General features: G+C 43.9%; 1 protein-coding gene across 2 annotated transcripts in view, besides 5 other annotated features; it reads left to right on the forward strand.

Annotated features, from left to right (window-relative positions):
• Positions 4,861-5,050: an enhancer, noted in NCBI's record as "active region_26012". NCBI's record gives its function as "activates an Ori minimal core promoter by ATAC-STARR-seq in GM12878 lymphoblastoid cells {active_cell/tissue: GM12878}" and the evidence as "EXISTENCE:reporter gene assay evidence [ECO:0000049][PMID:35858748]".
• LANCL2 (LanC like glutathione S-transferase 2) overlaps positions 4,936-25,747 on the forward strand; it is a 68,401-nt gene continuing 47,589 nt past the window's right edge. Inside the window, exons 1-2 of one of the 2 annotated variants that reach the window (XM_047420614.1) lie at positions 5,954-6,338; positions 19,246-19,432. Coding sequence is in view for 1 of the 2 variants with exons in the window: in NM_018697.4 (NP_061167.1) it covers positions 5,625-5,828 (204 nt within the window). In the remaining variant the exon portion in view is untranslated. Of the gene's footprint in view, positions 5,829-5,953; positions 6,339-19,245; positions 19,433-25,747 lie in introns of those variants that run through there. The other variant, NM_018697.4, reaches the window with a different exon arrangement.
• Positions 5,121-5,540: a silencer, noted in NCBI's record as "silent region_18188". NCBI's record gives its function as "represses an Ori minimal core promoter by ATAC-STARR-seq in GM12878 lymphoblastoid cells {active_cell/tissue: GM12878}" and the evidence as "EXISTENCE:reporter gene assay evidence [ECO:0000049][PMID:35858748]".
• Positions 5,671-6,130: an enhancer, noted in NCBI's record as "active region_26013". NCBI's record gives its function as "activates an Ori minimal core promoter by ATAC-STARR-seq in GM12878 lymphoblastoid cells {active_cell/tissue: GM12878}" and the evidence as "EXISTENCE:reporter gene assay evidence [ECO:0000049][PMID:35858748]".
• Positions 6,161-6,400: an enhancer, noted in NCBI's record as "active region_26014". NCBI's record gives its function as "activates an Ori minimal core promoter by ATAC-STARR-seq in GM12878 lymphoblastoid cells {active_cell/tissue: GM12878}" and the evidence as "EXISTENCE:reporter gene assay evidence [ECO:0000049][PMID:35858748]".
• Positions 22,402-22,602: a silencer, noted in NCBI's record as "peak6524 fragment used in MPRA reporter construct". NCBI's record gives its function as "represses an SCP1 promoter by STARR-seq MPRAs in K562 erythroleukemia cells {active_cell/tissue: K562}" and the evidence as "EXISTENCE:reporter gene assay evidence [ECO:0000049][PMID:32103011]".

The raw sequence follows: 25,747 nt of genomic DNA on the forward strand, positions 1-25,747 counted from the left end.
GTATTCCCCTTAAACAGGGGTCCTGTCATAATCCCTTTCCAGCCTAGCTGCAGACTTGCCTCCATGAGGCAGGAGCCATCCAAGTGTCCCACCAGACATAACTGGATTCCTCCATGTCTGGACCAAGAGGGTGGGGCTCTGAGTGGGGCAGGAGTCCTCACTCCTGTCTATATGGTCCAGCTGGAAGACGAGTAAGACTGACATCCACTCACTTAAGAGGAATTCTCACCCATTCTTAGAGGGCAGCCTTACCCATAGTTTCAACAATGTCAAAATGCCTCACACTAAGCCCAACATCCCATGAGAGATGGACACATGCCAGGCAGGGGGATGGTTTCTGTGCTATTATCTGCTTGGGACACCAGATAGTGAAGTAGCTAGCCAGCACATTCTTTATAAAAGGAGAAGCTGCATCAAATGAAGTCCAGGCTGTGTCAAAAGAAGCCTATTTCTTTGCATGGAGAAGTAAGAAAATAATCACGTAGGCGGGGCGCGGTGGCTCACGCCTGTAATCCCAGCACTTTGGGAGGCCGAGATGGGTGGATCACGAGGTCAGGAGATCGAGACCATCCTGGCTAACATGGTGAAACCCCGTCTCTACTAAAAATACAAAAAAATTAGCTGGGCGTGGTGGTGGGAGCCTGTAGTCCCAGCTACTCAGGAGGTTGAGGCAGGAGAATGGTGTGAACCTGGGAGACGGAGCTTGCAGTGAGCCGCGATCGTGCCACTGCACTCCAGCCTGGGCAACAGAGCGAGACTCCACCTCAAAAGAAAAGAAAAGAAAAGAAAATAATCATGTAGGTAAAGGCAGAAACAGCAACCTGAGACCTGAGGCAGTACCTTATGGCACTTGTTAAGGAAAAATACTTTTGGATGTTTTAGAGGAAAGATCTGACCGCTGCAGCTGCTCTTTGTGCCAGGTAAAGCAGATCCCACTAACCTGTGTATACTGTGAACAGTAGCATAGTAACTCATATTGCACTGGCTCATTGCCTGCAAACCAGTCTCCTCCCAAATCTTAAGAGTTGTCCTGGTATGTGTCTTATGTTCATGAACAGGTCTACTCCCTGAGTGCTGCCACTGCTCTTCAGGGTGCCATACTGTCTCTGTCATGCTGACAGGCATGATGGCCGCAGCACCAGAACCCTCAGAGTCCCCATACATGTGGTCTGCAGTGAGGTGGTGAAAATGTAGTTATTGGCAGAGCAGTTCCTTCACTCAGCATGAGTACCTTCTCTTCTGCTACCACCCTTCCACAGGTGGTACTGTGGACAGAGACCCTGTTTTCTATTCTTTCATGATCAGTCAGGTGCGGCCACAATGGGGACACGGGGGAGGCACAGAAAAGTTGACTGTGCTTCCAGGTCCTAGAGAGGCAGTCACTGTGCACCATGAAGGGGCCACCCTGCAAAGGGAGGGGCTCCACCACGTGGAAGGAGAGCAGAGGGAGTGGGGACCTGTGGGCCAATGCTGTCACTGGGGGTCAGGGTGGACACAAGCAAAAAGCAGGCGGGGCTTCATCGGTGTGTTGAGCGTCTCAATATTACAGGAAAATTATTCAATGTCAACTGTTAAAGCACAGGGTCTTAATTTGTTTTCTGTTGCTTATAATATAATACCTGAAACTAGGTAATTTATAAAGAAAGGGAATTTATTTTTTACAGTTTTGGAGTTGGAGAAGTCCAAGGTCAAAGGGCCACACATGGCGAGGGCCTTCTTGTTGATGGGGAGTCTCTGCAGAGTTTCCAGGCAGCACAGAGCACCCCATGGTAAGGGGTTGAGTGTGCCAGCTCAGGTCTCTCTTCTTCATATAGAGCCACAGTCCCACTCCGAGACAACCTGCTAATCCCTTCGTCCACGAATGGATTACTGTCACACTGGGGATTAAGTCTCAACATGACTTTTAGAGAGGAAAAACATTCACACCATTCACAGCACAGGGTAAGGCTGACTTTATTGAGACCTTAACGGTATGGGGACCACCACGATGGGATTTTGCAGTGTGGGAGAAAGATTGAGCTTAATTCCCAATACAAGTGGAAATGGATAGCCAAGAAGCAAGGTGGGGGTGACTGGATGGAAAATTACTAAGAGATAACATGAAGGGGAAGGTGGGTACTGACTAATCTTACCTAATAGGCTTCTTGCTGAACACAGGCCAGGTTGATCCAACATCACCTAGGGGATAGTGAGGGATAGGGAACCTGGTCAAATAATGGGGGTGATCACATATTAGGGGGTGGTTCTTCCTAAAGTGACTTAGCAAGGCTGTTTGCTAAAACTGGATTTTATAAGGAAGTGTGCAGATGGGCCTTGGAGGAGATTCAGGAACCTGACTAGTTTGGTAGAACAAAGAATCTCTGTCACTAGGTCACAGTCCGGGAGGGCAGGAAGGGGAACTGTGGCAGGGCCAGCTCACCACACTGGGGCATCTGGTCACCTGGGCGGGGTGGGGGAGAGGGGGGCTCACTGCCTGTTTTCCGTGTTGAGGCTGCAGGGAAGCGTGAAGTTTTGAAATACATAATACAGGCCCCACGTGGTTCTGACCCAGCACCACGCAGTTCTCAGAACCACACATTCTAGCCCTGCAAGCACCTGAGGCTTGGTTCCCGGGCCAGAGGCTGGTACCTGACTCTGGGGTAAAGAGGAGAGCCGGGGCTGTCTGCGGGGCCTCAGGGCTCGGCGATGGCTGAACCCCACAGTGAGAGCCCTCGTGCCCCAGGTTTTCCATCGTCTTCCTCTCACCTTTGGGGCGCTCCAGATAAGAAGTGGCGTTTCTCAGGGAGGCGCCCCCACCTCAGCTCCTCCTGTCTCAGGCCCCACTTGGTGGGGAGCCGCCGCAGGCGGGGAGCCCGGGCTTGCCCCTGCGGGCAGTCACCGCTGCCCTGTGCCCCGAAACCACCCTCCCCGCCCCCCAGTGACCTCCCACCTCCGGGGTTCCTCTCCGCCTTGCTGCCTGCTTTGGCTTTAGAAGGGAGCTCAAGCTCAGCGGCTTTTGGGGCAGCCACGTTAGGTGCTGGGGAATGGAAGAGGATGACACTGCCTATTTTGACTCAGATCTTCAAGGATGAGCACACCCTCCCCTGGTAGCAACTTCTGCACCCGCCGGCCACCCCGTAGGGCCCTGCCCCGCACCGCACCCGGTGGCCTCCCCGGAGGGCCGTGACCCAAGCACCGCACCCGGCGGCTTCCCCAGGTGCTGCTCCGCCCAGTGCCCCCCCAGATCTCAACGTGGTGCCACAATGCCGCCCTCTCGCACATCGTGTCCTTGGACTATGTCTTCCTTTGAAAGGTCAGTTGCCAGGGGCCCTCACGACTCCTTGGGTGTGCTTTGGGCCGGCATGTATGTCCTCTTGCCCTTCTCTTACACAGAAGAGTGGGGAGGGTGTCCTAAGAATTTGGCTTGTCCTAAGGAAAATAAAGTTGTAATTTCAAGGCACTGACCAAGGTCTCTGTACTACTCAAGAGCTCAAGAGTGGCCACGGGGGAAGATAGCCCTGGGTGTAAAAGGGCCGCAGAAGGGAATCCCCTGTGCTCTGCATTAAAAAACCCCCAGGGGACAGGAGGCTGAAGAAAGGGAACCTACCACTTCTCCATAAAATAGTGTCAGTGAGCTGTCCAGGAGGGCAGGGGATCTGCCGATAAGAGAGCATTTAGGAAAATATGCCGACTCCTTAAATTGGGTTTCGATTTTTCAGCTTTTGAAAATATTGGTTTTCTTTAGGACAGGTTTCTGTACTTGCCAACAGTTGCCAGTTATCCACCAGCAGACTGCAGGAAGAAGAGACAATCTTCACCTCCCTCCTGGGTAGGGAGAGCTGAGAATTCACTAGGCTTAGCCTAACAAAGCCCGCAGTGGACGTTTCTGCTGTACCTGTCCAAGGCGTGATAGTTCCCCAGACTTTGGGGAATATCACCGTGGGTTATTTTGTCTAGTTAAGTCCCTGTGGTGGGATAAGGATGGCTCCTAGAGCATGTCGGCATCAGTAGTTCCTGGAGTGGATTTTCCTACACCGTCTAGGTATGAAAATTTGGTGGGAGAAAAGACCCCAGGAAAGGGGAAAGCAGGAAAGTGGAGCTAAGGGATGCTGCTATAACACTCATCCTGTTGTATCTGTTCTGTTTCCCTGAACTTTGAAGATAGTTATGCTGAGTACCCCCTTTAAAATGATTTTCTTCTACACTGTACCTTCCCATGGTCATGTTCTTGGTGGGGTGTGTTTCACATGTCCAGCCCTGTGGGGTTGGGGGGACACTAGAAGAGGTAGTGGGAAGCCAGACTTTCCCACATCATTCCACCGAGGCCACGGAGGCAGGAGGAACCGAGCCTTCCCTGTGCTCGGCACTGTGTTTTTCTTCATCATGTCACTTTTTACATTAACGTGTATTTTTGCTTGCTTCCAGAAAAGCACCTACATCAGCTATGCTGTAATCCTTGCTTTTCTCACCCAATAACTGGGAATCCCCAGAGAGCCAAAACTATCTTTTTAATCTCTTATTTCTTCATCACCTAGTACCATTTGGTGCTCAATCAACGTTTACTGAGCGGAAGAAAACGGAAATAAGACATTTTCCTCAAGGAGCAGAAATCATTACACGTATTTGGTCCAAACAAATAAAAATAAAGAGAACCAATGAAGACTGAAGTAAACCACATCACGATTACATAAATGTAAAGATCTGGTTGCTTGTGTCCTTTTTATAATACATACTATGATCTTTGCCAATTAACACTGGAGGACTCTTTCTGGTCGATAAAATGTTTGGATAATTAAGTATGCTTTCATTTTATGTCCCGGTATCAAAGATGTCCATTTATTCAAAACAAAGGGAGTGAACATAAAACATAAAAAGAAAAAAAAAAAGGCCTGTGGCTCCTCCTCCCAGACACCCCCCTCCAACAGTGATGAATAGGAGGGACTGTCTCCCTCCCCCATCCCTCGGAGACTAGCCTTGCAGTGTTTTAGACTGTTTTGAAATTCTGTTCTTTAGAAGAGATTTTTTTTTTCTTCTTAATATCAAACAAAGAACTGCTGCTATTCCTTTGGGCTGGCGCAGCAGGGGCCGGTGAAATGCAGGCTGACGACGGCGCGCCAGGGGCTGAGCTCGCCCCGGTCGGCGACGCGCACACACCTTGAGTGACAGCGACCTCTTCTCTACAGGTTTTCCCCGCGGGAGCGTGGCCCTAGCGGGCGTTCGGTTTTCTTTGGAAATCGCGGAGGGGGCTGGCCGGGCGCAGCGATCCCCACCCCGGGACTCCAGCCCCGGCCGTGCGCGTCGCCGCGGACGGGCTCTGCGGGCCACGGGGAAGGTGCGAGGAGGCGCGAGCAGGCTGTGAGCCGCTGGGCGCTCCCGCGAGCCCGCTCCTCTCCGTCGGGAGCAGGGCAAAGGCGCCAGGAACAGGGCAGAGGCACAGCGCCCACCGCCTCTGCGGCCGCCTGATGTGCGAGCAGCCCGCGACGAGGCAGTGCACGCTCAGACGCCCCGCTCCTCCCGCCAGCGCGCGGCCTCGCTCCTCCTAGAGGACGCTCTCTGCGCGGGCCCTCGGAGGAGGCGGCGGCGGGGCGAGCTGCAGCGCCGGGACAGGAGGTTTGTCCCCGCCCGCGCGCCGTACCGCGGCGGAGATGGGCGAGACCATGTCAAAGAGGCTGAAGCTCCACCTGGGAGGGGAGGCAGAAATGGAGGAACGGGCGTTCGTCAACCCCTTCCCGGACTACGAGGCCGCCGCCGGGGCGCTGCTCGCCTCCGGAGCGGCCGAAGAGACAGGCTGTGTTCGTCCCCCGGCGACCACGGATGAGCCCGGCCTCCCTTTTCATCAGGACGGGAAGGTGAGTCGGCGGCCTGGCCGCAGAGGCGCCGGAGGGGGAGCGCGGCGGTGGTAGCGTCCACCTTCCGCCAGGCGTGACGTCACAGGCGCGCGCCGGGCTTGGGAGGGCGCGGGATGATAGCGCCTAGCACCTGTCTCCGGGCCTTCCCGATGAGCCGCGCTTAGGGTCCGTGGGCTTCAGCTGCATGAACCACGTTCCAGCAGTTCGGCCCTCCTGGCCCCAACGCGCCTTTGAAATACGCGGACAGTGCGCTTTCCTTCTTGGCCCGAGCGGCGCTTCGCAATGCGGGCTTGTGCACTCGTGAGGCCCGCGGACACCTCCCGCCCCTGCGCGGCGGAGCGCTCCGCCGGCTACCTGCTCCTCAGAAGTGGCCTGGAGGCTGGATTTCCTTGGCCATATCTGGTCCCTGGGCTCTCGCCGACAAAGAAGCATTGTCCGTACTGTCTGTGTGCCCAGAAATGGGAAGCGGGTGTAAGGGGAGGCCAAACTTGACTTTCTTAGTGTCGCGAGGTGGGTCAGAGCGTTACATTGACATAAAACAGATTAACAACAGAAAAACATACATCTCTTGAATATGTTTTACGTGAAAAAGACACAAAGAAATGGCAAAACCCAAATACTTTTGTGCTAGGCAGAACCAAGAGCGGCAGCTGTGGGAGAGTAAAGTGTGCGGGGAGGCTAATGGAAGATGGAACTGCTTGAACCACGTCTAGGTAGAAATCTCCGCCTTGCTCGGCTCTGGTGCCGAGTGTTTCTTTGTTCCTGGTGTAGGGAGGCCATGTTTTACAGGAGTTTTCTCTTGTTTCATGAAGAAAAGGGGGCAGTTTAGAGCACTCTTCTGTTTTTCAAGTGCTTTTAGCTTAAAATAATCCTTATGCCAGAGACATATTTTTGGGATGGCATACCCTGTCACCCTTCACGGGCTATCTGAACAGAATCTAACGTGGGAGGCAAAAAGTGGGAATAAAACAGAAGATTGAATATCAGCACAACTGTTTTCATGCTTGGTAAAACCGTACCTTTACCAGGTTTTCTTTTTCCACTGAGGTACGTGTTCCAATGGCCACTTCACCTCCTTGGATCTCCATGTATTTCATATTTGGCTAAAACTAAGAAGGTAATTTTGAAAGAGCCATTGGTCTGAATATGGAATCTAAGGCAAGTGACTTCTGTAAACCTCTCTCTTCTTGAATGTGGTTAAAAACTCGAAACAGGCCGGGCGCGGTGGCTCACGCCAGTAATCCCAGCACTTTGGGAGGCCGAAGCGGGCTGATTGCTTGAGCCCAGCAGTTCGAGACCAGCCTGGCCAACATGGCAAAACACCGTCTCTACAAAAGAAAAATACAAAAATTAGCCGAGCGTGGTGGTGGACGCCTGTTCAGCTACTCAGGAGGCCGAGGTATGAGAATCGCTTGAGCCTCGGAGGTCGAGGTTGCAGTGAGTGGAGATTGCGCCATTGCACTCCAGCCTGGGCGACAGAGCTAGACGCAGTCTCAAAAACCAAAAGCAAGCAAACCTGTGGGAACAAGTCCTAACTGATGGGGATGTGTCTGAATTAGATGAAGCATATAAATTGCCTAGCAAACTGCCTGATGTGGTACCTTAAGAAAGGCCTCAATAAATGTTAATCTCTTCCCCTTGATGATTTAAGTTACACGGTTTAGATTCATATTCAATATTGGTTTTTCTCTAGATTTCTTCTATTTTTACATACAAATATGTGTTTCATTTGTGACTTAGTGTTTCATTTTTTAATAACAAAAATAAAAATCTGGCAAGCATTGAAAAAACTGCATCATTCATTCTTATTACCAGTGGCCATCTCAGTACTATCCTTGGAGTAGGTAGGTTACAGCAATGCTTAGTGAAAGATGAATGAAATGAACTCTTGACATGAGAATAACAAAAATAATGTTAGAGACATGGGAAGCAGGTGAGTTTCATTTGCAGCCTCACAGGAGATAAACACTAATTCAACTCAAAGTTTTGAAATTGGGTATTTTTCTTTTTAGCCTTTGTATCTGGATAAATGTGATTTTTGACCTCAGTTATATACCTGATTTATGTTGAAAAGAAAATTAGACTACAAGTAACTAATGGGGCTTGTGATATCTCTGCAATGAAATGTAAGTTGGGGTGGGGACCTATGCCAGTGGTTGTGAGTATATGCTAAAGAAAGAAATGGACATCATATTATTCTTGAATATGAAAATGAGAGCACGTTGAAGGGAGAGATGGATAGTGATTTTAAAAGGTGGAAAGATTGCTTCTTGGTTATTGGAAAGTCATCAGATAAAATGAATATGAGTTGAACACTGTCTTCCCTATTAATATTTTTTATGATTGACATTAAATTTTTGGTTTTAAAAATCTGTTAAGAATGCAATTTGAGGATATCACACTATGCACTGTTTTTGATAGACATGAAATTTCATGAAAATGAGGGTGTTATGGGTTGAATTGTGTCCCCCACCAGAAAAAAAGGTATTGAAGGTTGAAGTCCTAACCCATTGGAACCTCAGAATGTGACATTTGGAAATAAGGTCATGGCAGATGTAATTAAGATGATGTAATACTGGAATATGATGGGCCCCTAATCCAATATGACTGGTGTTCTTATATGAAGAAAAGAGAAGCAGGTATGATGGCTCATGCCTGTAATACCAGCACTTTGGGAGGTTGAGGCAGGAGGATCACTTGAGGGCAGGAGTTCAAGACTAGCCTGGGCAACATAGTGAGACCCTGTCTCTTTTTTAAAAAGAATTGTAAAAGAGAAGAAAGAGACATAGGGAGAAAGAAGATGGCCATGTGATGATGGAGGCAGAGATTGGAATTGCCAGCCAACACCAGAAACTAGGAGAGGCAAGGAAGGATTCTCCTCTGTAAGTTTGACAGAGAGCATGGCCCTGTTGATACGTTGATTTTGGGGCTGTAGGCTCCAGAACTATGAGAAAATAAATTTATGTGGTTTTAAGCCACCCAGTTTGTTGAACTTTGTGGTATCCCTAGGGTAACTTGTTAATTTGTAAGTTAAGCATTGAATAATTTTCTCTCCATGATGTTACCGAGTAATGATTACAAAAATCTACCAACACAATAACATTTTATTACTAAGTATTCTTTAAGTCATTCACTCTATCTCATTTTAGTTTGGCTGCCTAGGTATGTGGTGTGATCAGTCAATAAAATTATCCTCTGATTCTAAAACCACTCAAGTCGGCTTCTCTGGGCCATATTTCCATAAATTGGTATTTATAACATTTTTTACAATATTGGGCCAATATTATGAAAAGCAGTGAACCAGTGTAGTAGCAGTTGTTTTTAATTATGGAAAGCCTGTGACGCAGACACTCTTAGTTACTCATCTAACAGCCATTTCCTCCTTTTTACTTGATTTTGTTGTGGCCGTGGACTTAAGGGGAATTGAGCCCAGCTCTAGGAGCTGAATCATGATTAATGTCTTTGACCAGCAGCAGCAGCAGCTTCAACTGATGTTCAAGTCCAACCAGGAGATGGGTACCATGCAGAGTTTAATAGGGAAAGTTTAACTTAAAGAATTGTTATGAACTGTGAGACTGGAGTAACAAGAGATTGTCTCATGAGAAGGAAAGAGAACTCTGAAGAGTGTAGGAATAGCAGACAGAAGGAGCAGCCCCACCCCTAGGGCTGAGAGGGCACTCGAGTAAAGGCCCCTGTGATTAGCTCTGTTGCTGTGTAATAATTATCCCAACACTTAGCATCTTTATAAACACTTACGATCTCATGCAGTGTCTGAGAGTCAGGAATCCAGCTGCAGGTTAGCTGGGTGGTTCTGGCTCACGGTCTCTGGAGAAGCTGCACTCAAGCTCTGAACCAGGGCTTCTGTCATTTTGAGGCTTAACTGGGAGAGAGAATCTGCTCCAGGCTCATTCACATGGTGGTTAGTCGGCCTTGCTATGTGTTTTCTGGAGGCTTCAGTGTCTAACCACATGGGCTGCTCCTTAGGGCTGCCTCATGACATAGTGGCTGTCTTCCCTGAGACTGAGTGATCAAAGAGAAAAGTATGCAAGAGCACCCAAGATGGAAGCTGCAGTCATTGTATTTATTATGTAATCTCAGAAGTGACATACCATCACACCTGCCATATTGTATTCTATTAGAAGCAAGACAGTAAATCCAGCCCACGCTCAAGTGGAGGGGTTATACAGGAGCATAAATACCATGAACTGTAGAGTCCTCAGCCAGGGCTGAAATCTTGAACTTGTCAGAGAGGTCATTGCCATACCTCATTGGTTGGGAGAGAAATTGCTGTGATACTGCACCATTGCTAGGTGTAGCCTCCAGAACCCTGCAATGAGTATTACAGTAAGTGACAATATGTAAAGAATATCTTGGGGGCACAAGAGAAGAAAGAAGACGTGTTAATTCTGCCCATTCGCATCAGGGAAGGCTTTTTAGACTAAAATGATACTTTCATGGTCCTTGAAAGATTAAGTGGGGGTTTTCTAGGCTCAGTTAGGGAACTCCATGAGCAAGGACTTAAGGGATACCACATTATGAGAATATCAAGGAGTACGGCATGACTGGAGAAGAGGGAGCGTGAATGGCACTGGGGAGTATTGAGGCCGAAGACAGTGATTGGAGTTGATGCTGAAGGACTTGATGGATTGGAAGGATTCTTTTAAAATGAAATTTAAAATTGTATATTTAAGGTATACCACATGGTGTTATGTGATACATATAGGTAGTAAAATGGTTTCTATAGAGAGGCAAATTAATATATTCCCAATGTCACATAATTACCCATTGTTTTTTCTGTGGCCAGAGCTGCTGAAATCTATTCACTTAGCGTGAATCCCACATCCAGTGCATTTTTATTACCTGTAGTTTTCATGTTGTGCCTTAGAGCTCTAGACTTGTTTGTCCTGCATATCTTCCATTTTGTATCCTCTGACCATTTCCTCTCCTTCCTTCAACCCACTGCCTCCGGTAATAACTGTTTTGTTCTCTATCTCTGTATAGTTTTGGGTTTTGTTTTGTTTTTTTTCGAGACAGGGTCTCACTCTGTTGTAGGCTGGAATGCAGTGGCATGATTGTGGCTCCCTCCCGAGCTCAAATTATCCTCCCACCACAGCTGCCTGAGTAGCTGGGACCACAGACAGGTACCACCATGCCCAACTAGTTTTTGTATTTTTTGTAGAGACAGGGTTTTACCATGTTGCCCAGGCTGGTCTCAAACTTCTGGGCTCAAGGAATTTTTCCCAGCTCATATGCTGCTGTTTCATTTTAAGAATTGTTTCCTTTGCTGTGCAGAAGCTTTTTAATTTGATATAGTAATATTTGTTTATTTCTGCTTTTGTGCCATGAGCTTTTGGTGTCATACCAAAAAATTATTGCTATGGCCGGTGTCCAGGAGCTTTTCCCCATGTTCTCTTGTAGGAGTTTTATAGTTTCTGGTCAATCCAAAGGACTTTACAACTTTTTCCACAGAAAAAAATCAGGAAAACTTGTCTGTAATTTGATACAATCTTAAGCTATTGGAAATGCTTCAGTTTATAATTATTTAATTTTCCATATTTTTGTTTTGAAGCTTTAAAATTTGTTTAACCTCATAATATATCATGGAAGCATAAGGAAATCAGTACTACCCTAATACCCAGAGAAATGTAATTTTTTTCTCTTTATTCAAAATGAACTAAATTGTGTGTGTGTGTGTGTGTCAGGTGGAAGGTGGGGTAATATACTCTACAACTTCTCAGAGTGAGGTTTGTGGACCTAAATCATAAGCAGTTCCTCAAAGATTGTTAGAAATGCAGATCCCACTCCAAACCCAAGGAACCACAGTCTGCATTTTAACAAGATCCTCATGCCAGAGTACTCATAAATTTGAGAAGCATTGAGGAAAACTGTTCTACATGTAGCTTTATTAAATTTTCTTTTAATATGAACTTAATTAACCTCCAGCCAGTTTTCAGTTCCTGATGTGGAAAGATATTGACGTGGAAGGGTAATGGTAAGATTATGGAGAGGGAACTAAGAAGATATTATACATGAGCATTTTCCATCTTTTGGAAATAAATTGTAGCATAGAGCAGGTAACAGTTTTAATAGTCTTGTGTTTGACTCCTACTTTTCTGCCATTTATGACTTGTAGACTTTGAGCAAGTTATTTAACCACACACTGAACCTTGGTTTTCTTACCTCATCAACTTGATGTAAATGGTTAAATTGAAAGGCTAACTGAGGTTCTTAATATAACATAGTTGTAATATAACGTATTTGCTAAAGCTTTTAATAATGTAGATGTAATATAACCACCCCCTCCTCACTGGATTGTTATAATGGCTAATTAGGTTAATACATTTAAAACATTCAGAACGGTGCTGAGTACAGTTAGTACCTAGGTACACATAGTTACTGATACATAGGTGAATAGTAAGAGTTGAGTTAATGATAGCTATTAGCATTATTATAGACATAGCTTATTTGTATTAGAGTATAAAATGTGATAATGAAAAATTTGTTTACATTTTATATTTTCAGTGGAATACAGAAAAAAAACCTACTTTTTTTGCTCTTTAAAGAAATGCTTATTGTCTCCTTTTTTTCCTAAGGAAAATATGGTTAGATGTACAATATTTATATGGCTATATCCTCAGATTGCCAATAGTTTCCAGATTTCTGAATTCCATACACATACATTCTTCCTCTCATCATCTCTGAAAGGGCATGGAACTCCTGTTGATGGTGGTGAGATGATAAGGAATAACCAAACCACTTGGAAATATGGAGGTTGGGAATTCTACCCACAGTAGAACCTACCAGCTCATGCTGTGCACCTTTGGGCCTCAGCAAGATTGAAAATTGTCATCTATCATAGCCTGGGTCTCCAGATTCGTAAGTTTATGCTTGAAACTTCAAACAGGAGCTCTGAACACTTAATTCATGATTACCAAGGGCTTACTATAATTCATTTCTATTTCTTTTTCCCACTTAACTTTACTGCTTTCTGAGAACAGGAATTTTTTCTTGAACATACTTGAGTTATTATTTTTTAATTTTTTAAATATTTATTTATTTATTTATTTATTTATTTATTTGAGACAGGGTCTCATTCTGTTTCCCAGACTGGACCACACTGGCACAATCATAGCTCACTGCAGCCTTGACCTCCCAGGCTCAAGAGATCCTCCCACCTCAGCCTCCCAAGTAGCTGGGACTGCAGGTGTACTCCACCACACCCAGCTAATTTTTAAATTTTTTGTGTGTGGAGATGGGGTCCTGCCATGTTGCCCAGGCTAGTCCTGAATTCCTGGGCCCAAGCAATTCTCCTGTCCTGCCTCAGCTTCCCAAAGTGTTGGGATTACAGGTGCAAGCCATTGCACCCAGGGAGTTATTTTTAAACATCCTCACTGCTTGATACTGAAATAAGAACGCAGTAGGTAGTAAATGTTTGTTGACTGAATAAATCTATGGAAATTAAAAAAATTTTTTTATGAGAGGCATTTTTTGCATTTTATTTAATGATACAATTTTGTATTTTAAAAGCTATTCTGTATCTAGAATGTTACATCTTGGACTCTTAGATGACATTCCAGGCTACTGTAAGTCAAGAACTATGTAATATGCTTTGGGAGTTCTGGGTGAGGAGTGTGCTTTGTAAGGACAACTAGCAGTTGGCTAGGGCCAGACTAGGTTTTGAGCAAATTTTGCTTGAATAGAATTGCATATAACAAACCGAGTTTCTTTTTCAGAAAATGTTCCTGTCTTTTATAGATTTTAGTTAGTACCATGCAGCAATTGTTTAATCAAAATGAAACCTAACTTTTCACTGAGAGCTTTCCATAATTAAAGATAATTTGACCACAAAATCCTGCTATCTCCATGGGTTCCTTGTCTCTTGAACTGTAATTACATATGTTTTGAGCCCTTGTTTGCAGTTTATTAATACATTGTCACTTAACAGTTTGTCCTTGGTTCTTTATTGCAATTGTAAACTTCCTTGTGGTTATGCCATATATCCCCTACGAAGCATACATAGCAGATGAATTTTTATGATACACATCAAAATTGGATTGAGGTGTGTGTGCTTAGGATATGTAATCTAGAATATTTTCTGTTATATTACTGAGTTTGAAATAAGAAAACAGAAGCAGACCAGATTATGTAAATCTATGACTATTTTTAGCAGAATGAACTATTTTCAAACACCTCTGCAAAATAGCGTTATCTTGATAGAGTCAGTTTAGGTAAGGACCTGTTTATTGAAAATACCACTAGTGAAGGTAGATGTTTTCACTACCATCTAATTCTTTACTGTCAGAAGATATAGCTTCCCCACCCCTGCCTGCTTTTCCCATGTAGTAATTAGCTTTGAGGTAAGGATTGGGGGACTTTTGTTTTATTCATTTTGTTTGCAAAATGGAACAAAGCAAGCCCACACTCTTGCTAGGTATGTAACATCACATCACATCTTCATGTGTCTAACATTACAAGTGAATTAGCCTAGGAGAGCTGAATTAGGAAATGCACTTCCCCAACCCATACCCCTCAGCAGAAGGGTTTGTTAAAATCTTTCCTAAGAAAAGAATTACTTTATGGTATACAGTTTGCAAAGTTTGCACATCATCACATATGTAAAATGTGAGTCAAAAAGCTATTTTTATCATCTTTAAAATGTAGGCAAGTTATTTTCTCTTAGCTTCAGTTTCTGCATGTGTACCATGATGATAATGCTGCTTTAGGATTATCAAGAGGATTAAGTTAGATTAAGTGTCTCAAATACCCCATTTATTAGGAGTGTAGTAGATGATTTTATTAAGCTCTCCTGATGCATTTCAAGTATTATTCATACCTAAATGTTCAATTTATGCATAACTATTCAAAACGTACCTTTTTCTTCTTAGGAGCTATTTATTATGTGCATGTTGAACACTTGTTTTTAGACTTTTCACTCTCCTCTATTTGTAGTTAAGATCATCATAATTTTTTACAAGTTAATTGTCAAATCTTTAAAGTTTTCTGTATTTTTATGTATAGCAGTTGTATTTCCTCAAACTAGCACTAAATTTATCATAAAAAATACAGAAGAACACAAGTATTTTAGAAAGAGAATGATTGCATATTCCGTAGTTTTCAGATGGAATGACTTGTTTCCTCAGGAATGCCCATGGCATTCTCCTAAATGCATTTTAAATACCATCTCTGTCCTTCAGCACAGAATGCCCCCCTGCTTTTCACACAGCGAGCTCCTGTCTTTCTCTGAGACGCCTGTGAGAGGCTTCTTCCTCCAGGGTCTTCCTCAGAGTTGCCCAGGCAGACTCTGTTGCTTGGCCATTCCAAAGCCACTTGAAGGATTAGCTAAGAAAGTTGTATTTTTCCGTTGTTGCCATAAATACCACCAATTTTGCAGTTTAAAGCAGCACCTATTTATTTATCATCTTTAAAATGAAGTCAGAAGTCCAGGTACAGTCTGGCTCTGCTGGCTCCTCTGCTTAGAATTTCATAAGGCCAAAGTCAAAGCATCTTCAAGGCTGCCTTCTCTCCTGGAGGCCCTGAGGGTGAATCTGTTTCCCAGCTCATTGAAGCTGTTGGCCAAATCCAGTTCACTGTGGCTGCTGGAGTGTTCCCCACTTCCCTGCTGGCTGGCCTTAGCTCCTCAATGCCACCTGAGCCCTGCCCATGCTTTCCACATGGTCCTTACAGCAGCCGCAGATCAAGTCACTCTCACACTTCACATCTCTCTGATTTCACCTTCTGCCCTATATTTCTGACTTAAATAGGAGAAGTTTCTCTCCTTTTATGGGCTCATGGGATTAGATGGGCCCCGCTTGGATAATCCAGCATCCTCTCCCTATTTTGTGGTCTGTGACCTGTTTCAGGTTCCAGGACATCTTTGGGGGCCATTCTGCCTACCATAAAGGTTTCTAGTGCTTGTAGTCTGGAGTGGCTGCCTGGGTTTAAACTCCAGTCTGCCCCTTACTGTTGATATCACTTTTGGTAAGTTACTTTACCTCTCTCCTGTGCTTCATAGTTCTCATTTGTAAAATGGGGGTAATAGTTGTAGCTTTACTGTAGAGTTTTTATGATAGTAGTGAAGGGCAGCAACAGTCTTAGACAGAGTCAGTGCATTCCTTTCATGGGGCTCAGGATCCACCAGACTCCGCATGGACAGCCCTGCAAAGCAAGCTCCTCAGCTTTTAGCCCATTGAGGAGCAAGCTTTCAGGGCCTTCTAGTCCACACATTGCCCCACTGACGGTACTCCCTCATCAAAGAAAGGGTCTCCTAGGTCCACCAGGAAGCCCCCTGACGGGCTCACAGTGGTCATCGATGCCTTTCCATCCCCTCTCCACCCTTCTGAATTCCCCAGCTACACACTTGCCTGCCTCTGTGAGTGGGCATCTGATAACAATCCCAGTAAACTCCTGAATGCCTTCCACAAGGGTGAAGTAAGATTGTCTTCGGATATCAGTCTACATACATTTATATATTTTCTTGAGTATACCATATTTGATATTGCTAGTCAGGCATTTATTATATGCAATCATAATTATTTTTACGTTTGTCTCATTAGACCAGGAACATTTTGGGGAGTACCCAGTCTTATTCAGCTTTGTGTCCCAATAACAGTGCCTGGCACATGGAAAGCATTATTTGTTTTTCAAAAGAATAACTAATATTATACTCAAAATTTGCTAATCATCTACATTTTATTTCTTTCTTCCTCACCTATTTCAAAGGTATCTGAAAGTTAGAAAAATATATATAGTGCTGGGTATTTTATCATATATGAAGTTGTTAATATGCCAATTATATTATGTTTGCTACGCTTCATGCCAAGATAAAGAAATTTCATCCTTTATCTTCAGTAACAGTTGTTAGAGTGTTGATTATATCATCTAAAATATTTGTAAAATTGTAAAAATTTATAAAATCTACCCTTTATTTTTTCCATATGCAATATGAAATGTAGCTTATGAACATACTGAACCCATACCTTCTCTAAAATCTAGAGTTGAGGCAGAGAGGTACAGAATATGTGTATATGTTCTAGCAAATGACAAATTAGGAAATAAATTATACCCCTCAATTATTCCTGTGATGTACATGGAAAAAATATCATGAATAAAAAGGAATTTAATTTCTTGAAACGTTTTTCAAGAATATAACTGGTGTAATTTGTATGCTTCAGTATCACCCAGTGTCTGTCTGCCATCTGTTTATCTTTTTCTTCTTCTTTCTGTCTCCTTCCCCTATTCCCCCTTCCCCCTCCTCTTCTGTCTCGTCTTCCCAACCTCCCGTCCCCAGGAAAAAAGCTTTTTTATTTGATTCTAAGATTTATTACCATGAAAACATTGTGAGGAAGAGAAATAAATCTTGCCATAAATGTGCCTTGTGTATCATTTGGAATAATAGATGCAGTGACACCTCACAAGGGGTTTTACAACCAGTGATTAATATCTACTCCAATATATTTCTGCTTTATAATACACTTGGGCATTCTTGTTTGGGAAAATTGCCTACTCACCATGTAGGAAAAGAACATTTTCTTCCCGATTGCAATGTAATTGCTAAAAATCAATCTCAGAATCAAGAGATAAAACCTCCAAAATTCTTTAACTGCTCCTGCTGTTTCTGGGCTATGTGGCAGGTACATATTTCTATTCATATGGTATGACTGAGTGAAGGCTGTAAGTCCTGAACATCCAAAGGTAAAATGTAAATATAGAATCAAGCAAAAAATTTTGCAGTAAGCAGAGAATGCACAGCCCAGGAACTTTAGAAGTAGACAGTCTAGTCAGAGTTTCAAGAGCTTTATCTCTCAATTGTCATAAGACCTCAAGTAAGCCTTGGTTTTCTTACCTAAAAAACTGAATGATGTGACGATTAATTGAAATACGTAAAGCACTTAGTGCCAGGTACATAGTAAGTGCTCAGTAATTGTTAGTTATCTTTATAATACCATTATTGCCAGGTGCAGTGGCTCATGCCTATAATCCTAGCACTTTAGGAGGCTGAGGTGGGTGGATCACTTGAGGCCAGGAGTTCAAGACCATTCTGGCCAACATGGGGAAACCCTGTCTCTACTAAAAATACAAAAATTAGCCGGACATGGTGGCGCATGCCTATAATCCTAGCTACCCGGGAGGCTGAGGCATAAGAATCACTTGAACCCAGGAGGTAGGAGGTTGCAGTGAGCTGAGATCACACCACTGCACTCTAGTCTGGGCGACAGAGTGAGACTCAGTCTCAAAAAAAAGGAAAAAGTGTGTGTGCGTATATATATGTACATGTATATATGTATATGTGTATATATATGTATACGTGTGTGTGTGTGTGTGTGTGTATGTAAATAAAATACCATTATTTAGTGAGACAAACCAGTTAAAATTTCTCCTGGTACAGTAATCTCCATCAAATGTAAATAGAATTACAGCATAATAAATTTTCTTTGTACATGAGAATTTGGTTCCAGTATAAACAAATTAGAATCCTCTTTTATGAGAAATAGGAAAAGGGGAACCATAAAAAGTACCTTATGGCAAAGGGCAGAGAAATGAAAGGTTTTTGCAATTAAATTCTGGCAAATATTAAAGGGAACTGGAGGAAGCAATCACAAGTCTTAAAAATATACTCCAGTAGGCTGGGCGCGGTGGCTCACGCCTGTAATCCCAGGACTTTGGGAGGCCGAGGCAGGCGGATCACGAGGTCAGGAGATCGAGACCATCCTGGCTAACACGGTGAAACCCTGTCTCTACTAAAAATACAAAAAATTAGCCAGCCTGGTTGCAGGCGCCTGTAGTCCCAGCTACTCGGGAAGCTGAGGCAGGAGAATGGTGTGAAGGCAGGAGAATGGTGTGAAGCCAGGAGGTGGAGCTTGCAGTGAACCAAGATCACGCCACTGCACTCCAGCCTGGGTGACAGAGCGAGACTACGTCTCAAAAAACACAAAACAAAACAAAACTCCAGTATCATTTATGAGGAATGAAGGGTTAGTAGCATATGCTTTGGAATTAGGTTACCATGATAGAGCTAAGACGGCATGTGAGTGTGCATTAGGCCTGGAAAACTCAACTTAAACGTACTTTAATCAGCAGGCAGAAGGGGAGAAAAATTAGGGAAGTTCTGTCTTTTTTATCATGAAAAATAAGAACCTCCCAGAACCTCCTAGAAGACTTTCATTTAGGTCTCATGGGTCAGAACTGTGTCATGTGGCCACCCTTGTGCATAACGGGGCCTGGAAAATCAAGTGTCTCTTCTGGGGCTGGATGCCCTACTATTCTGGATATAATCAGATTTCTGTTAACAAGCAGGAAGGGTGTGGGGACTAGATACGGGCTAGGAACTACCTTATGGGTTCTGCCACTGCAGGTATTAAAGAGGTATCCCCTATTTATTCCTTCTCATGCAAATGATTCTGCATCTCTTTGATTACAGTAGAAACCAAAGGTCAAGACACAGGAGGCCTAAGTTACTAACATGGAGTCAAAAAGTTTTTAAGAAGTTGGATGGAGAACCAGACAGTTACTCTTTTTGGTGCATTCAGTAACAGAAGCAAAGTTAAATACATTTACAAGCACATCACCAAAACAATAGGGAATGGCAAATCCAGAAAGCATTGCTAGTAAGTAAAGATTGTTAAGTGAATGTGTTTGTCCAGTTAACTCATAATATCACCTTTAAGGTGGGTGAAATATTGATACTGTGTTTTTTGGTGTGCCATCTTTATCATTTAAGTGAGCATAATTATGAAGATTTTCATGAAGCTCTCCTTGGCCTTAGATTTCTAACTCAGCTTTCGCTATAAGGGAAGGTATTTTACCACCATGGTTGAGTAGGAATTATCGTAATTTACTTATTACCTTGAATAACATTTAATGAAAAGATACAATTTTGAAAGCTAATGGTATGTTTTAGTCACTTAATAGAATTCATTGTCTTGCCTACCTATTTTAGTCTTGGGCAACTAATAAATATAATGTCAAAGGGGAAAGTCGTATTCAGTACTTTTAGCAAAAATATATGCCTGTAAATATGCACGTTGAAATCCTCTTTGGCACAATTGGTTGGTCTCAAAATAGATTTGCCCATCTCTGAATGCTTAGCTATTACTTTCAATGACTTAAAAATGTAGACAAGGATGGAGGTTTTATGGTATATAATATGCAGCTGGAGTGCAACAAAAGAAGGTACATATACTGCATTGTTTTTTTTTTTTTTAACTTAAAAGGTGTTTTAGGGGATTTATACTTTAATGATGGGCTAAGACCCTGGTGGAGGACTCCCTGTATAAAACAACTATAAAACTTGTATATAATATAAAAAGCAACTACTCAAAGGCACTGGAGACTAAGCAGACTGCAGTGTAATTGGTTTTTTGTATTATGTCCAGATTCTATCGAATATGTTACAGTGCGTGATTGGAGGAGGAGGGAGGTTCTATAGAGTGCGTTACAGTGAGTAATTGGAGGAGGAGGGAGGTTCTGTAGAGTGCATTACAGTGTGTGATTGGAGGAAGAGGGAGGTTCTGTAGAGCGTGTTACAGTGCGTGATTGGAGAAGGAGGGAGGTTCTGTAGAGCGTGTTACAGTGTATGATTGGAGGAGGAGGGAGGTTCTATAGAGTATGTTACAGTGCATGATCAGAGGAGGAGTGAATTTCTTTTTTTTTTTTTTTTTTGAGATGGTGTTTTGCTCTTTTTCGCCCAGGCTGGATTGCAGTGGTGCCATCTCAGCTCACTGCAAGCTCTGCCTCCTGGGTTCAAGCGATTCTCCTGCCTCAGCCTCCCCAGTGGCTGGGATTACACGCGTGTGCCACCACGCCTGGCTAATTTTGTGTTTTTAGTGGAGATGGGGTTTCACCATGTTGGCCAGGCTGGTCCTGAACTCCTGACCTCAGGTGTTCTACCCACCCTGGTTTCCCAAAGTGCTGGGATTACAGGCATGAGCCACCATATCTGGGCGGAGGAGTGAATTTCTGTAGGGTATGTTATAGTGCATTCCCTGTGAAGGAAGTTTCTGTGTCCACGTCTTTTATCCTGGAGCTAAGTTTCATTTACATGGTGCACTCAGTGGCGGCAGGGGTTGCCTATGGCAAAATCACATTTTCCGGGAACCAGAAATCTAAGATGGGATAACAGGCTGATGAGATAATGAGGAAAAGGGATGAGCCAGAGGAGGGATCCAAAAATCTTGTCTGTGTACGTATCCAATCAAATTCTGAACAATGCGTGTCTGGAACAGACCCAAAGAAGCTTAGCTAAAGACGAAAGATAGAAATTGAGAGGAGAGCTGCTGCCCCAGAAACAGAATTTGCAATTCAATACAAGCAAGAAAACAGTGTACAAATTAACATTCCAGATGCAGGGCAAAGTTACCTGCTATCTGTAGAACCAGGAACATAGTGTGAGAGAGAAAAATAGGTTTTCCTCTTACCCCTCGGAGTTTTTAGCTGGGACAGACCCCTGTAACAAAAGACAAATTAACAAGAGAAAAACAAATAAGTGTTTTAATGTGTGTATTTCATATATACATGGGACGTACCCAGGGAATGAGTGTATCTCACACAGATGGCTTAACAAACCCAGCTTATATCTCATCTTCAGCAAAGAGCAATGCGTTTTTAGAGCAGTGACAAGACAAAGGACAGGGACTTTGAGTGTCTGGGATGCAAATCATAGAATGGCAAACAAATGAGGTTTGTGATGTAGATTTCTCTGGTGCCTTCTCCAGGCTGATGCCTTCCAGAGATTTCTTCGCTGGTTGGGAGGGAAGGAGGGACACCGTTTTTAAGTCCTGCTTTTAGGTAGGTGCGGGAGGGGAGAGAGCTATTCTGGCATCTACTTCTCAGTTCAAATTCATCCTTATGTCAAAATGAATGATTTTGAGGAGGCATATTCTGCTTTTCTACATAAAAGACACATTTTCAAAAGAAAAGAACATTAACTGGGTCCAATCCTGAAAAGAACCAGATAGTGAAACTAGTATGCAAGGATTTTAAACTGACTGCTATAACCCTCCTCCATGAAATAAAACAAAATATGCTTTCAATTCATGAAAAATGAGGAAATCTCAGTAGGGAAGTAAAAACCATTAAAAAAAGAGTCTCATGGATATTTTAGAACTGATAAATACAATATATGGCATTTAAAAGTTACTGCATGGCCTTAGCAGGGGAGTGGAGAAGACTGTCAGTGTCCTGTGAGTTCTGCTTGCCCGCTGCCCACACAGAGCTGCCTTATCAAGACGGGAATCACAATTTGTATTCACACAAAGCCAGCTGAACTGGAGACCGGAGTTTTTTTACTCAAATCAGTGTCTCTGAAAACTTGGAATGAGGTTTTTAAAGGATAATTTGGTGGGAGGGGACAAGGGAGTGGGAGTGCTGATTGGTCGGATCCTAGATGAAATCTTAGGGGTCACAGTGGGTTCTTCTTGCTGTCTTCTGTTCCTGGGTGGGATCACAGAACTGGTTGAGCCCTGTTACCAGGCTGGATGGCACCAGCTGGTGCATCAGAAGGCAGGGTCTGAAAATATATCTCAAGCACCATTCTTAGGTTTTACAGTAGTGATGTTATCCTGAAGAGCAATTGGGGAGGTTTGGAATCTTGTGGCCTGTGGTTGCATGACTCCTACACCATAATTTCTAATCTTGTGGCTAATTTGTTAGTCTTAAAAGGCATTCTGGTCCCCAGGCAAGAAGGGAGTTTGTTTTGGGAAAGGGCTGTTATCTTTGTTTCAAAGTTAAACCGTAAATTAAATTCCTCTTGGCCAGCATGGTGGCTCACGCCTGTAATCCCAGCACTTTGGGAGGCCAAGGTGGGTGGATCACTTGAGGTCAGGAGTTCCAGACCAGCCTGGCCAACATGGCAAAACCCCGTCTCTACTAAAAATACAAAAAATTAGTGGGACGTGGTGGTGATACAGCTCTGATGACTGGAGGAACACCAGGGTCCTTTGTCTCACGCTGATATAGATAACATGACACAGACATATGTGGAGTGGTTTTAAGGAGCAGAGAGTTTAATAGGCAAGAAGGAAGGAAGAAGCTCCTCCTTACAGAGGCAGAGGGAGGGAGGCTCCAAGCAGAGAGAGAAAACCCCATGTGTGGTGGATGAGGAGGAATGGTCAGTTATATTGGGAGGCTGGAGGAGGCAGTATCTGATTTACATAGGGCCCAGGGGATTGGTTTGACCATGTATGTCATTCACATAGCCCTCAAAGTAATTGGCCCTCCCACCCTAGCCTTTTAATATGCAAATGTGGGCCACTATGATGTCCTGCACAGGTGGAGATATCTGGGGGTGGCCATGTTGGGCAGATCTAGTTTTTAATCCACATTAGCATATCAGTACTTGCTAGCCTAGCCCTTCAAGCCGTTTTTCTGCTAGAAAATAAACATTTCTGGAGCTGCTTTTATTACAAGAAAAAAACAGCTTGCCAAAGACCCCTTATCCTATCGCCTAAAATAATTTCTGAATAACTCCTATAATAGGGGCATGCACCTGTAATCCCAGCTACTGGGGAAGCTGAGGCAGGAGAATCGCTTGAACCTGGGAGGCAGAGTGTGCAGTAAGCCCAGATAATGCCACTGCACTCCATACTGGGCAAGAGAGTGAGACTTCGTCTCTCTCTATATATATATGTGTAATAAAATAAATTCCTCTCAAAGTTAATTCAGCCAACACCCAGGAATAAACAAGGACAGCTTGGAGGTTAGAAGCAAGATAGAGTCCCTTAGGTCAGATCTCTTTCACTGTCATGATTTTTTCACTGTTATAATTTTTGCAGGAGTGGTTTCAAGACAGAGGGAAGAGAATTAGTAATTAGTGAACTTGAAAATAGATCAATAGAAATTATCCAGTGTGCAAAACAGAAAAAAAAAATGAAGGGAAAAAGAAAGGCAGGGATTTAGGGACCTGTTAAATTACATCAAACCATCCAGCTGTTGGTAATTGGAATCATAGAAGGGAAGCAGAGGAAGAGTGGGACAGAAAAAGTATTTGAACAAATAATAGTTGAGAATTTTGCACATTGAATGAAAGATAGAAATTTATAGATGCAGGGCCGGGTGCAGTGGCTCACGCCTGTAATCCCAGCACTTTGGGAGGCCGAGGCGGGTGGATCACGAGGTCAGGAGATCGAGATCATCCTGGCTAACACGGTGAAACCCCGTCTCTACTAAACATACAAAAATTAGCCGGGTGTGGTGGCGGGCACCTGTAGTCCCAGCTACTTGGGGGGCTGAGGCAGGAGAATGGCGTGAACCTGGGAGGCGGAGCTTGCAGTGAGTCAAGATCACGCCACTGCACTCCAGCCTGGACGACAGAGCAAGACTCTGTCTCTAAAAAAATAATTAATTAAAAAAAAAGAAATTTATAGATGCAGAATGCCCCTCAAAACACCAAGAGGAATAAACACAAAGAAGCCCAAATCAAGACAAAGGTAAAGAGCACATCTTGGTAGGAGCAGAGGAAAACAACACATTATATATAGGGAATTTTACTGACGGCTGATTTTTCGTTAGAAATCATGGAGACAGAGGAGAATGAAATAACATGTAAGTCCTGAAAGAAACTAGTATCCAGAATTCTTTTTTCAGTGAAAATATCCTTCAAGAATGAAGGCAAATAAAGACATTTTAAGATTAAAACACTACCATCATCACCACCACCATGTAAAATAATTTGTTACAGCAGACTGGGCATGATGGCTCATGCTTGTAATCCCAGCACTTTGTGGGGCAGAGGTGGGAGGATTGCTTGAGCCCAGGAGTTTGAGACCAGCCTGGGCAACATAGCAAAACCCTGTCTCTACACAAAATACAAAAATTAGCCAGTTGTGGTGGTGCACACCTGTAGTCCCAGTTACTTGGGACGCTAAGGCAGGAGAATCGCTTGACTCTGTGAGGCAGACGTTGCAGTGAGCCAAGATCATGCCATTGCACTCCAGCCTGGGTGACAGGAGTGAAACCCCGTCTGAAAAAAAAAGTAACAGAGGTGATACCTGATGAAAACTGTCGTGGGTGAGTGGCGACTTTCTGGGCTGGTGGTGTGGGGGTGCAAGAATTTACCAAGACAGTTGTTGAGTACAGAAAGGCAGATTTATTAGAGAAAGAAGGAAAAGATGTTGCAAGGAGGTGACAGGCCAGTGGAAGAGAAGCTGACTGTATCAGGGGACCTGCCCCGATAATCATGTAGGTTCTTTTCTATTTTCCTAAGCGTCGACTGGCTTTAGAAATAAAAGGACAGAGTACAAAAGAAATTTTAAAGCTGGGCGTCCGGGGGAGACATCACACATTGGTAGGATCCGTGATGCCCCACAAGCCACAAAAACCAGCAAGTTTTTATTAGGGAGTTTCAAAAGGGGAGGGGGTATACGAATAGGTGTGGGTGACAGACATCAAGTACTTAACAAGGTAATAGAATATCACAAGGCAAGTGGAGGCAGGGCGAGATCACAGGACCACAGGATGGAGGCGAAATTAAAATTGCTAATGAAGTTTCGGGCACCATTGTCATTGATAACATCTTATCAGGAGACAGGGTTTTGAGATCAACCGGTCTGACCAAAGTTTATTAGGTGGGAATTTCCTCTTCCTAATAAGCCTGGGAGCGCTATGGGAGACTGGAGTTTATTTCACCTCTGCAATCTCGACCATAAGAGACAGGTACGCCTTGTGGGGGCCAGTTCAGAGACCTACCCCTAGGTGCGCATTCTCTTTCTCAGGGACATTCCATGCTGAGAAAAAGAATTCAGCGATATTTCTCCCATTTGCTTTTGAAAGAAGAGAAATGTGGCTCTGTTCTGCCCGGCTCACTGGCGGTCAGAGTTTAAGGTTATCTCTCTTATTCCCTGAACAATTGCTGTTATCCTGTTCTTTTTTCAGGGTGCCCGCATTTCATATTGCCCAAACACACATGCTGTACAATTTGTGTAGTT

The sequence above is a fragment of the Homo sapiens genome, chromosome 7, assembly GCF_000001405.40.
Source record: "Homo sapiens chromosome 7, GRCh38.p14 Primary Assembly".
NCBI classification, from domain to species: domain Eukaryota; kingdom Metazoa; phylum Chordata; class Mammalia; order Primates; family Hominidae; genus Homo; species Homo sapiens.